General features: G+C 47.3%; 1 protein-coding gene across 2 annotated transcripts in view, besides 4 other annotated features; it reads right to left on the reverse strand.

The window, feature by feature from the left end:
- SKP1 (S-phase kinase associated protein 1) overlaps window positions 1–3,583 on the reverse strand; it is a 28,016-nt gene extending 24,433 nt beyond the window's left edge. For both annotated transcript variants that reach the window (NM_170679.3, NM_006930.4), the window contains exons 1-2: window positions 3,488–3,583; window positions 559–655 (exon numbers count right to left, since the gene is read on the reverse strand). In NM_170679.3, coding sequence (NP_733779.1) covers window positions 559–655 — 97 coding nt within the window. In that variant the 5' untranslated portion in view covers window positions 3,488–3,583. The remainder of the gene's footprint in view (window positions 1–558; window positions 656–3,487) is intronic.
- Window positions 2,964–3,243: an enhancer, noted in NCBI's record as "active region_23135". NCBI's record gives its function as "activates an Ori minimal core promoter by ATAC-STARR-seq in GM12878 lymphoblastoid cells {active_cell/tissue: GM12878}" and the evidence as "EXISTENCE:reporter gene assay evidence [ECO:0000049][PMID:35858748]".
- Window positions 3,334–3,583: an enhancer, noted in NCBI's record as "active region_23136". NCBI's record gives its function as "activates an Ori minimal core promoter by ATAC-STARR-seq in GM12878 lymphoblastoid cells {active_cell/tissue: GM12878}" and the evidence as "EXISTENCE:reporter gene assay evidence [ECO:0000049][PMID:35858748]".
- Window positions 3,734–3,813: a silencer, noted in NCBI's record as "silent region_16356". NCBI's record gives its function as "represses an Ori minimal core promoter by ATAC-STARR-seq in GM12878 lymphoblastoid cells {active_cell/tissue: GM12878}" and the evidence as "EXISTENCE:reporter gene assay evidence [ECO:0000049][PMID:35858748]".
- Window positions 4,487–5,001: an enhancer, noted in NCBI's record as "H3K4me1 hESC enhancer chr5:133513545-133514059 (GRCh37/hg19 assembly coordinates)". NCBI's record gives its function as "activates a minimal SCP1, AML or CMV promoter by ChIP-STARR-seq in primed H9 embryonic stem cells {active_cell/tissue: H9 hESC(primed)}" and the evidence as "EXISTENCE:reporter gene assay evidence [ECO:0000049][PMID:30033119]".

Genomic DNA, 12,694 nt, shown 5'->3' on the forward strand with positions numbered 1-12,694 from the left:
GTAGTCCCAGTTATTCGGAAGGCTGAGGTGGGAAGACTGACTGAGCCCAGAAGGTTGAGGCTGCAGTGAGCCGTGACTGCATCACTGCACTCCAGCCTGGACAAGAGTGAGACTCTGTCTCAAATAAATCAATCAATAAATAAAATCTACACAGCAATCCACAGAGCTCACTCCCTCCACTGAAATAAGGTGTTCTATTCAGCCACCATTATAGGACGGTATCTCTTTTCCAAAGACCTTAATTTCTATCACTGGAACTTATGAATTCAAATTTACTTGAACAGAAATTAACCATTGCCTAAGGCTTGGCAATCACTTCAATGTTTATTTTACCTTATGATTTTATCCATTTAATGAGAGAACGACCCTCACTAATTCAGACAATGCAGAAAGGATGACCTGTATCAGAAAAATGTAAGTTATAAAGAAAAAAATGTAAACTTTACCTCTTCATACTCTCAAGCACCTTATGACAGGCTGCTGCTCATATAAATTTGATATTCACAAACTATCTCAAATTACACATTTCCTCCCACCCAGGTTTTCCAATGAACTTACCTTCCAACATGGTCTTAATAGTCACAGATTGTTTGGCAATTTCCACATCAACTTCAAATATCTCTCCATCAGAACTCTGCAACTTAATTGAAGGCATCTAAAAAAAAAGGACATTAAATATAAAATTTAAGAGAGAGAGTTCTACATGACATTTCATCAACTACAGTCCATCAGAAGGCTCTAACTTATTGACCACAAAGTTCTAAGAACCTACAATACATAACCCTGTAAAGCACTGTTGTAAGCAGTTATTCACAAGTTAGTCTCCGAGTATTTCTATTAAAATTTTTTCAAAGTATAACTACTAGGAACAGAAGCTTTTAAGGCCTGCCCTACTGAACTCACTATTGGTATAAATTTAATAAAACATACATATTTGTATTTGCTTTCTGCCTGCCTTTCGTCTCCCACTGAATACTGGACTCCATCTGAACAGTTAACTGCCACAATTAACTACATGCGAACCTGAGGAAGGTCAGTCCAAAACAAACAACGCTACTAAATAAGATAGAAATTTTCCCCACAGTGAGTCCTACCTGTGAAGATGAGTTCAGATCCAAAGAGTACATCAGAATATGCTCATTTATGTCTGAGGCAATGCAAGACCATATACAAGAGAATAAAATGATTTAAAGATAAGCAGATGTGAGTACAATTCCCTAAATCTACTTAAAAGCTTCATTTCAGAGCCCTTTTTATCTTTCAGTACTGACTGTCCAGGTGACCAACTTTGAGATCTCTTGGCAAGATCTCCATAATAATAACCTATTACTTGCTCTGAAAACGCATTTATTAATTCAGATTAATTATGAGTCGTTAGGAAAAAGATATAATCTTACATAAAAAGTTAAGCATTTAATTTCAAAGGACTTGAGTTCTGGCAAAAAAAAAAAAAAAGGCATTTAAAATTAAAAGTCCAACAATTTCTTACCATCTTCAAATTCTTTTTTTAAAAAAGAAAACATACAAACAAGGAAAACAACAACAACAAAAAGAATAGCAATACCTGGTACAGATTAATTCAAGGCCTCTTAAAACTCACATACAACTTTTAAAAGGCCCATGCTTCTCAAGTATTCATAATCCGGTGATGTCACTATTAACTTATGGCACCTCTGAAGTTTTCTAGGTGTGTTGTATTACAAATCGCATATATTTTCCCAAAAGTGTATCATTTGGCATTTAAAACATGCATCACACCCATTTTATGTTCAAAGACTTATGACCCATTACATCGGTTAAAATATTCATTCAGCTTCTCTGAGACAATTGTCGCCAACCCCAAAGCAAACAGGTTGTTAGGCAAAGGAAGCAAAAAAGTAAAGCATGTTTTAAAACCAGCCACTGAAATATCCTACTCTCACTCATCCATAGTTGGAGAGAATCAGATTTCACTTTGCGATTCACAAACATGTCTGCTTCTCCATGTTGCTTAGCGCTTGCCAATAATGCAGTTGTCCCTGCTTAATGGAGAAGGATGCAGAGTAGAGGACCCTTCCTGTGACAAGACCACAACAAAAGGTATCTCCAAAAGAAAATATTTTAACCTGAGCCCAATTTTTAATTATAAAACATTTAAACATGTAATTTTTATATTAGATAGTACTGAAATGAACAGTGCAGAATCACAAATCTAACAATGCAGTTGATTAAAATTACTCTAAAAGCAAGACGACCGTTTCATATTTCTTTCAAATAACTCAAGATAAGTGCTTAGTCATAGTCAAGTTTGTGGATTGGGTTACTCTTAAGGGAGTTGAGACCTTACTAAATAGCAGCTGGTCAATCGGTTAATCTGTAATTCGATGCACTTGGTAATACTAAACTCAAAGATAAGTTTTAGTGTTACAGTAGAATAAAGTGCAAAATTTTTAAGTAATAATGGATGAAATATTTATTTGAAATGCTTTCAAAACAATTCCATTCTAAAGAAAGAGGCCTAAAGGCTCCTGCACTTGTAAATAATTCTCCATGGCCAGCATAAAGCGGGTTCTATCACATCATATAGAAAAAAAAACCCCTGCGCTTTAAGTGACCCGAAATTCTGACACTGCTTTTTAGACTGCACAGTGGAGGAGACGGTATTGTTCTATGAAACGGATACATTCTACTGTCACGCTCTAAAGGAAAAATGCATGTCCCTAAAACCCAAACGTGAAGTTTCCATTAAAAGTGAATCAAAGCAGGTAGACGTCCTATTTCTTTAAAAGCCAGATACCTAGAGTTAAGTTATACACAGTTAAGGCTCCTACAAGTCACACCACTCTGACGATGGTATCTGCTCAACGACTCCAAGTCATGGCAAAACAACGCTAAGAAATATTCAGATGGAGCAGGCGGCTATGTGCAGAAAGCCGGCGCCCGCACACGGTTAGCCAGGACCGACCGGTAGCTAGTGACGCCAGACACGGTGGAGAAAGGATGGGAGCCAAGAACCGGGCGGCCTCAGACCACCACCGCAGCTCTCCCTCCCGACCACAACAAAAGCCAGACACCGACACACGCCCACGCTCACGACAGCCAAGGGACCCCCATTCACAACCCCGCCGCCACCCCCGCCCTGGTCCCCGGGACAGCAGGCTTAAGACCAAGAGAGGCCCCCGGCCGCAGCCTGGGCCTTGCAGCCGAGCTCCGCGCCGGCTGACGCTCGGCCGGTGCAGAGAAGGCCCAGCCCGGGGTTCGGCTCACTTATGGAGCGCCGTGAGGACGCCCGGCCAGAGGAGGCCTCGCTGAGTCGGGGGCGGGGCAGGTGAACGGAACCTGGTAGGGTCTCCCGAAGAACAGGGTCGACAACGCGATCCACCGGGCCCGAAAGAAGGCCAGGCCCAGTCACCGCCCGCCGCGGGCAGGCCCAAACCGCAGCGGTGAGGCCAGCCGGCACGCAATCCGGTAGCCACGACCCTTTCCAGTTCAGTGGGCGGCTACTCACGGTGTTCGGTGTTAAGGAGACGGCCGGCGGGAGGCTGACGAGAGCCGGGAGGCGTTAGCGAAGGAAGAGAAAAACCGAAGACGAAGCCACTACAGCGTCGCAGCGCGGCGCGGCGTCTGCTTTATAGGAGAGGGCGCAGGCGCCGAGGACCCCGGGGCGCGCGGCGTCACATCGCGGCTGGGCTGGCCGCCGAGATCGCCTGACGGCAGGCCGAGAACGGCTGGGCGGGCCCAGGCCGGGAGGCGGCAAGGAGCTGCCGGGGGCGGCTGGCCGGGGGATCGGGGGGCCGGAAGAGTTTTCGCCTCTCCCCAGCTCTGAAAGCGCCGCGCTGTCTCGTCAACTGGGTGCCGGACCCCGACTGGCCTAGAAAGGTCTTTCAGGCAGCGGTGCCCTAAGCCGAGTGAAAGACCCCAGTTAAAAAGCCTGGAAAAAACAAAACCGGGCGAGTGTGTGCGTCTCTGTGTGTGTTCCTGGGAACAACAGAACGGGGCGTGTGTGTGTGTGTTCACTCCTGGGGGGGGCTGCGTGTGTGTGTACGCGCGTGTGTTCATTCCTGAGGTGTATGTGCGCGCGCGGGTGTGTGTGTTCATTCCTGGGGTGGGGTGGGGTGGGGGTGGGGCGCTTGTGTGTGTGTGTTTTACTACTGAACTGATACAGCTTGTCCAGCTTCCATTCTCCACGGTAACCCTCCGAGGTGAAATAGTGTTAGCCTTTTCGCCTCTGCAGTGAGGGAACAGGTTCGGAACGGTTAAGTGGCAGAGCTAGGATTTGAACCTTACTCCACAATTAGGTGCTGTTAGCCCTTATTTCCTACTATTGACTTCTAAAGAGGCTTCCATGCCAAACATAGCCATCGTTATAGGGAAACCCCAAGTCTAGAGAGATGGCTCCATCTAGCAGTAGGTACCTACTCCTTCACTAAACATGCTTTGAGCCCGACGTGCGAGGCGTGGTGCTGGGGATTCCGCCGTGAACCAGGCAGCCAGGGCCCGGCCTGGACGTAACTCTTCTCTAGGGTGCTCCCAGGAAGGCTTTGATGAGGTCGATGGAATGAAGCCAGCTGTAAAGGAAAGGGAGTAGTCTGAAAGCCCCACCCTGTTCTGCTCGGGAACATTACTCTCCCCATCCTAGGAGACTGGGCGCCGGGCTCGCCTAGCCAACAGGCACGTGATGATATCCCTGACACCAGGAAGACAAAAGATACTTCCACACAGGGCCCCCTGAAGAAACCAGAGATGTACAGTGCCTCTGGGATGGGACTGGGCAGGAAGGCCAAGCAGCTCCTTGAGTTACCAGGTCTTTGTCTACAAGCCTATCCAGTGTCTGCCAGGTGCCACAGCTGATGACAGAAGATGAAACGCCTGCAGCTCTCAGACATTTTCTTTGCAGCACAGCCCTGCCCTCAGCAGCTCTAGCTTCAGGCCTCCTAGGCAGGGCCCACTGGAGCCCCTTTGCTCCCCGCCTATGGCATAGAAGGTGGTACCTTATTAACTCTCTTTAAGCATTCTAAGCAGGACTGTGCAGTGTCAGGTCACACAGCCCGGGGACCCAGCACAGGGTCTGGCATAAAAGTAGGGATATATTTTTCCAAATATGTCTGAGAACCCCCTTTATTAGAATCACCAAGAAATGTCTGCTTTTAAAACAGATTTTGGGGCCGGGCGTGGAGGCTCACGCCTGTAATCTCAGCACTTTGGGAGGCCGAGGTGGGCAGATCACTTGAACTCAGGAGTTTGAGACCAGCCTGGGCAACATGGTGAAACCCCGTCTCTACAAAAAAACAAAAATTAGGTGGGTGTGGTGGTGTGAGCGTGTAGTCCCAGCTACTCTGGAGGTTAAGGTGGGAGGATCACCTGAGCCCAGGAGGCAGAGGTTGCGGAGAGCCAAGATGGTGTCACTGCACTCCAGCCTGGGTGATAGAGTGAGACCCAGTCTCAAAAAAATAAATAAAACATATTTCATTTGCTTGTATATGGTGCTATATGTATAGATTATCTCAGGAAAGATACACAAGAAATTGGTCACCTCAGAGGAAGGGAACTAGGTCACTGAGGGATGGGTTAGAATAATTTTTCACCTTATACCCCTTTGTATCTTTTGGGTATCAATTCACATGAATGTATTACATATTCAAATTTTTTAACTTTAAAAATAAATTGGCTCAAGAAAAATGCAGATTCCTGGGTCCACTCTCAATCTAATAACTCCCTGGGGGCAGGTTTTTCTGCCCTTTAAACCAGTTCTCCAGGTGATCCTCAAGCCCAGAGTAAGTGCATAAACCTGTGTAGTAGGGTATCAGTGGTGAAGCACTGCCAGGAAGGAGCCAAGAGTGTTCGTCAGAGGTGACTAGTTTAGCGCCATACTTTCTGGATCAACCCTACCTTCTCTCAAACCTCCACTCGGGAGGGCCAAGGTAGCTGTAGCACTGTGGGACAGGCTGGGAGTGACTCCTCTCCATTCATTTATCCATAGTGATCACCCCAGGTCAGAAAGGACTGGCCCCCACAGAGTCCCCTTGGTACGTGTGGATACATGTGTGGGTGTGAGGAGCAGGGGTACCTATGTTTCCAGAGCTGGCCCTGAGGAAGCTGAGGCTCCACCCTTACTCCAATCACTCCACATGCTCCACACCAAGGGGTATTCAGAACCCCTTGTCCTACAGAGGAAGGAAACAAAACCAAAGAGACTTTCCCAGCCGTCACTCCAGCTCCAGCTACGTATCTGCCATCACAGCCCAGGCAGTCAATCTTAGCCCCATTCCTCAAATGCAGGAACATTTTCTAATTTACAACTGTTCCCAGCATACTACCTCCAGGGAAACTAAAGCCTTGGATTCAAATATTCCAGATGGGAAAATCCAGTTTTTATGATGAATTCAGTTCCAGAAATGATCTTCCTTTTTAAGTCTTCATTGGAGTCTTCATTGCTATAAAGCATTCACAGGAGGATTCCTATGAGGAGCAACCCTGTCAGTGCATCTAAAACGGGACCCTCGGCTGGGCGCAGTGGCTCACGCCTGTAATCTCAGCACTTGGGGAGGCCAAGGCAGGAGGATCACTTGAGGTCAGGAGTTTGAGACCAGCCTGGCCAACATGGTGAAACCCCGTCTCTACTAAAAATACAAAAAAAAAAAAAAAAAAATTAGCCAGGCATGGTGGTGGGCGCCTGTAATCCCAGCTACTTGGGAGGCTGAGGCAGAAGAATTGCTTGAACCCAGGAGGTGGAGGCTGCAGTGAGCGGAGATCACGCCACTACACTCCAGCCTGGGCGGCAGAGCAAGAGTCCATCTCAAAGTAAACAAACAAACAAGACTTTGCAGCCCAGAATTCAGTTCTCATTCCATTTCTTATGCACCCATCCATGGGACAGACTGTGGACTTAGACATGTGTTCCATCCCATAGGACAGCATGTAAGCTAGAAGTATTCAGTCCACATGGTGAAGGGTCCCCTGGCTGCATCCTGCTGTGTGTCAACTCTCTCAGTCTTGGTCCTCTAATACAGGGGTAAGCATAGCCACTCTGAAGTCAGACCACCTGCCTCTGTTATGTGATCTTGGGTAACTTACTTCACCTCTCTGGGCCTCACCTTCCTCTGTTGAAAGAGTTGGAAAGAAGGTATATGCCAGGCTTGGAGTGGGGAGGAGAACACTGCATGCTGTTAGCTTCTAGTGTGGGTCTCTGAGAAGGGACTCTCTCTCATTCTCCCATCCCCTCAACCCAGGGATAGGGAGGGATTAGGACCCCAGATAGGTTTGGAGGTTCTGAGAGAGGGGAGAATCTGTCTGTGGATAAGGTCTAAATAATCTTCCATGATGAGAAAGTATGGTAGCAGTCAAGTAGAAATGGCAGCTGGGTATGCCTAAGCAGGGGGCCCTGGGAGCATCTCAGGCCCATGCCTAATTTGTGAGAATCCCAGGAAGCATTAGCATGTGTTGTGAGGCCCTAGAACAGCATGAAGTTGCTGAGAGGGGGCAGATAACCAGGAAAGAACTTCTGTGATAATAAACCTAATAAAGGGAGCACTAAAGCCACAGTCCAAGCCAGAGACCATGGCACGAATGCAGACATCTGTGGGCACAGTAGAAACCAGAGACGACAACCCACAACTGGCAGGGGTGAAATCTGCCTGCCTCCCTGAGCAGTAGAGGAAGATGACGATGACCAAGGACCAGACAACCTTAACCCCCTCACTTCCCACTCCATGCCATGACCACATAACCTCCACAGAATGCAACCATGCCCCTGGATAGGAGTGGAGGGACAGAACACTCAACTGAGTATTCCCTGGAATGACTGGGTGATCATGCACTTACTTGACTGAATTTGCCAGGAAGTGGCCAGATTATATTTCTGCTGTCAAATGGAAATAAGCGCTGTAGAAAGTAATTATGAAAATAAGAGATTATTTGACACACTCAAATATTCTGACTTTAAAATTTCATGCAGGCTGGGCGCTGTGGCTCATGCCTGTAATCTCAGCACTTTGGGAGGCCAAGGCAGGCAGATCACTGGAGCCCAGGAGTTGAAGACCAGCCTGGGCAACATGGCGAAACCCCGTTTCTACAAAAAATACAAAAATTAGCCAGGCGTAGTAGTGTGCGCCTGTAGTCCCAGCTACTCAGGAGGCTGAGGTGGGAAGATCACCTGAGTCCAGGAGGTGGAGGTTGCAGTGAGCCGAGATAGAACCACTGCACCTCAGCCTGGGTGCCAGAGTGAAACTCTATCTCAAAAAAAAAAAGTAAAAAATTCATGCAGCCACAGAGGCAGAGGAATCACACAGACCTGCTGTTGCCCACTTGCTGCTAACATCCTGTGTGATCTGGGATAAGTGGCTTCTCCTTGCTGAGCCCCAGCCCCCTTGTCTGTAAAGTGGGGATTATAACAATACCAATACATCACAGGATTTTTGTGAAAATCAGTGATTTTAGTCACCAGAATGGCTAAACTTAAAAGAATGACAATACCAAGTATTAGCAAGGATGTGGAACAATCGGAGCTCTCATACATTTCTGGTGGGAGTACAAATTGGCACACTTCAGAAAACTGGCAGTATCTACTAAAACTAAACATACATGTACCCAGTGGCCCAGCAACTCCAATTCTGGATATATACTCAGCAGAAATAAGAACTTATGTCTACCAAAAATATGTTTAAGAATGTTCATAGCAGCTTTATTCATAAGAGTCAAGAAAGAACAAATCTATCAACTATAAAATGAAAAAAAAACTGTAGTATATTCACTTAATGGAATATTAAACAGCAATGAAAAAGAACCTACTGATATACACAATGTGGATGGATCTCATGAACAATGTTGAACAAAAGAAGCTAAACCCAAGAATATTGATTGTTTAAGTCCATTTCAATAAAGACCAAAAAAGCCCCAGGCAATAACGAATCTGCGGTGAGAGAAGAATAGTTACCTTTGGCAGGTGACAAGTATTGATGAGGGAAGTTTTTGGGATGCTAAATATTTTTTTTCTTTTTCTGTTTCTTTTCTTTTCTTTTTTTTTTTTTTTTTGAGACAGGGTTTTGCTCTATTGCCCAGCCTGGAGTGCAGTGGCGCAATCACTGTACTTGACCTCCTGGGCTCAAGCAATCCTCCCACCTCAGCCTCCTGAGTAGCTGGGACTACAGGTGCACACCACTGTAGTATATCTGGGCTATTTTTTTTTTTTTTTTGAGACGGAGTTTCACTCTTGTTGCCCAGGTTGGAGTGCAGTGGCATGATCTGAGCTCACCGCAACCTCTCCACCTCCTGGGTTCAAGTAATTATCCTGCCTCAGCCTCCTGAGTAGCTGAGATTACAGGTGCCTGCTACCATGCCCAGCTAATTTTTGTTATTTTTAGTAGAGACAGGGTTTCACCCTATTGGCCAGGCTGGTCTCAAACTCCAGACCTCAGGTGATCCACCCGCCTTGGTCTCCCAAAGTGTTGGGATTACAGGCATGAGCCACTGCACCCAGCCTATTTTTTTTTTTGTAGAGATGGAGTCTTGCCATGTTGCCCAGGTTGGTCTCAAACTTCTGGGCTGAAGCAATCTTCTTACCTTGGCCTCCCAACGCTGGGATTACAGATGTGAGCCACCATGCCCGGCCAACATTTTGTATCTTGGTCCAGATGGTGGTTTCATGAGTGTATGTACATACAAAAATTCACTGAACTACAATTATGTTTGTATACTTTACTGCATGTAAATCATAACTCAGCAGAAAAGAGGGAGAAAGTTCGGGCATGGTGGCTCATGCCTGTAATCCCAGCACCTTGGGAGGCCAAGGTGGGCAGATCATCTGAGGTCAGGAGTTCGAGACCAACCTGGCCAACATGGTGAAACTCCCGTCTCTACAAAAATACAAAAAAAAATTAGCTAGGTATGATGGCAGGTGCCTGTAATCCCAGCTACTCGGGAGGCTAAGGCAGGAGAATCGCTTGAACCTGGGAGGCGGAGGTTGCAGTGAGCTGACATTGTGCCATTGCACTCTAGCCTGGGCGACAGAGCAAGACTCTGTTTCAAAAAAAAAAAGCGAGGAGGGAGTGACAATGTGTGAATGCATGTAACATTCTTAACATGATGCCAGTGTCAATTCCTGAAGGAAGTCTGAGCCCCTGGAGCCTTTCCTTCACATGGCTTCCCAACCCTTCAGAGCCAAGGCTGGAGGAATACAGGAGATGTTGGGAGGGAAGGTGAGGAATTTCTGCAAGGCCACAGGGAGGACTTACCTGCCCATGGGCCAAGAGTTCAACTAAGACCTTGGACAAAGCTACAGAAAGTTACAGCTTCCTTTCCTCTATCTGAGCCAGCCAGTGCAATACCTTCCCTGGTGGACTATGAACCTGCCCTTGGGAAGCTGCTGTGGAATCTCTAGGCAGAAGTGACATCTACACCTAAGTGGTGGAGGAAAACATTTCTTGACCCACATCTGTACCCTGCACCATCAGATTTCAGGAACCCCAGACTGCCTTGGGTCTAGGGTAGGTTGGAGAGTCTTGGCAAGCCAAAGTGGGCCTACCCATGAAGGAGGGACTGAACAGTAATCCTGCCCAAATCAGCAAGCCCATAAGCATAGCCACTAACATTCCTGGAGCATGGGCCTGCCAGATTACCGAGCTAAGCTCTTTCTTTATAATGTTTTAATCTCACAGCAACCCTAGGAGGTGGTTACTATTATAATCTGCATTTTACAGGAGAGATGCCAAGGCTGAGATGGGTTAAGTAATCAGCCCCAGGCCATAGAGCAGGAAAATGGGGAGGTGGGATTTGAACCTAGGTCTGGCTAACTCACCACAGATGAGTCTGACTTCACGGAAGAGCATGAGCTACACCCACCTCTCTCCAAGGAGAGAAGACCATAGGAGTGCACAGTGCCCCCCATGTGCTCAGAGTTGCCATGCTGGGCCCAAGCTAAGGCAGTGACAGGGACGGGATTGCTCTAGAGTCCGTCTGGTCCAGGTCAACCCCCAAGAACTACCAGTACTGACTGGCTCTGACCAACAGATGGCACCAGAGAGCCAGGTGGCTGTCCCAAGGGTGCATCTTCACTGAGCCTGCCCTCTTCCAGGCTTGCCCTCTGGCCCCTCCAAAGGTTGCCCTCTCTCCCCTCCAGGACGCAGACTCCTGTCCAGAAACCCAGTCTGGCCACCAGAGGCTGAATGCCAGTGCAACTTAATCCCATGTCCACAGCGTGACCATGGAAGTAGCCCCCAGCCATCTGGGTCACAGTGTCCCTCTGTGAAATGTAGAGTTTGACAGAGACCTGTGAAATGCAGGACCTGGTAGCAGGGCCAGAAAGACTCAGTTAGGAGCAGAGCAGTGCAGTACAATGCAGCGAGGACTCCTTCACAGATGAGAAAACAATGACAGGCATCACCTATCATCACCGGCTAAGTCTCCCTACCCCTCTGCCCAGAGGACCCCAGCACCAATATGTCGTCTGGAGCCAGCACACTGGGGCAAAGACTACCAGAGAGAAATTGCAATTTAAAAACTCTGCAAAGCCCAGCCAGTCAGCCACCCATGGAGCTCCAGGCAGGCCGACTTGCTGAACATCCCAGGAGCTAGACTGGGATCATCAGTGAGGTAGTCAAGTATGACGTGGGTATGTCTTGCAAGCCAAGTGCCTGACTGTTAACTGCGCAGTCAGGAAGGCCTGTCTGCCAAGGGACTACTGAGTGGCAGGGATTTCTCCAGGAAAATCTCTGAGTCTAGGCCCAGCAAGCTGCTGATATAGACCATGCCAGTCAGTCATTCAGTGAATATTTGTTTACCACCCTCTCCCCATCATGTTGCAGACAGTGGTAAAGAAGAGAAGGATTTTTGCCTTCAGGGAGCTTACCATCTAGTGGGTTCAATGTGATAAGCACAAATAAGAGAATGTTAGGTGGATAAATACTGAGAAGAAAACAAAGTGGGGTTATAAAGGGAGAAGAGGGCAATACATTTAAGCAGAAACCTGCATAAGAAGGCCCCAGCCACAGAAAGAGATGGAAAAAGTGTCTCTAAAAATGAGTTTGGTATGTCCCAGGAACAGTATGGCTAATATGGTTAGAGATTAATGAATGGGGGGAGAGTGAAAACAGATGAGGGCAGAAGAGCAGGTAAGGACCAAATCATGAAAAGCTCTGTGAAGAAAGTGGAATTTCATCCCATTTTCTTTTCTTTTTTTTTTTTTTTTTTAAGATGGAGTCTCATTCTCTTGCCCAGGCTGGAGTGCAGTGGTGTCTCGGCTCACTGCAACCTCTGGCTCCGGGGTTCAAGCGATTCTTCTGCCTCAGCCTCCTGAGTAGCTGGGATTACAGGCGCCCACCACCATGCCCGGCTAATTTTTGTATTTTTAGTAGAGACGGGGTTTCACCATGTTGGCCAGGCTGGTCTCGAACTCCTGACCTCAAGTGATCCACCCACCTCAGCCTCCCAAAGTGCTAGGATTACAGGCGTGATTACAGCCGCTGGCCACTTCATCCCATTTTCATTAAGTAGCCTCAGGTGATGGAAGGTAAGCAGCATGTGGCAGGATCCGCTTTACAGTATAGAAAGAGCGCTCTTGTGATTGTGTGAGTGGATTGTAGTGGGTGGAAGAAGAGAAGCCGCAAGACCTTTCAGAAGGCTTGGACCAGGACAGGGTTATTAGAGATAAAAGAGAAAGATGTATTTGGAGGTGTAGCTAATGAACCACATGTGGAGGATGAGAGAAACAGGTGTCAAGGAT

The sequence above is a fragment of the Homo sapiens genome, chromosome 5, assembly GCF_000001405.40.
Source record: "Homo sapiens chromosome 5, GRCh38.p14 Primary Assembly".
In the NCBI taxonomy this organism is placed as follows: domain Eukaryota; kingdom Metazoa; phylum Chordata; class Mammalia; order Primates; family Hominidae; genus Homo; species Homo sapiens.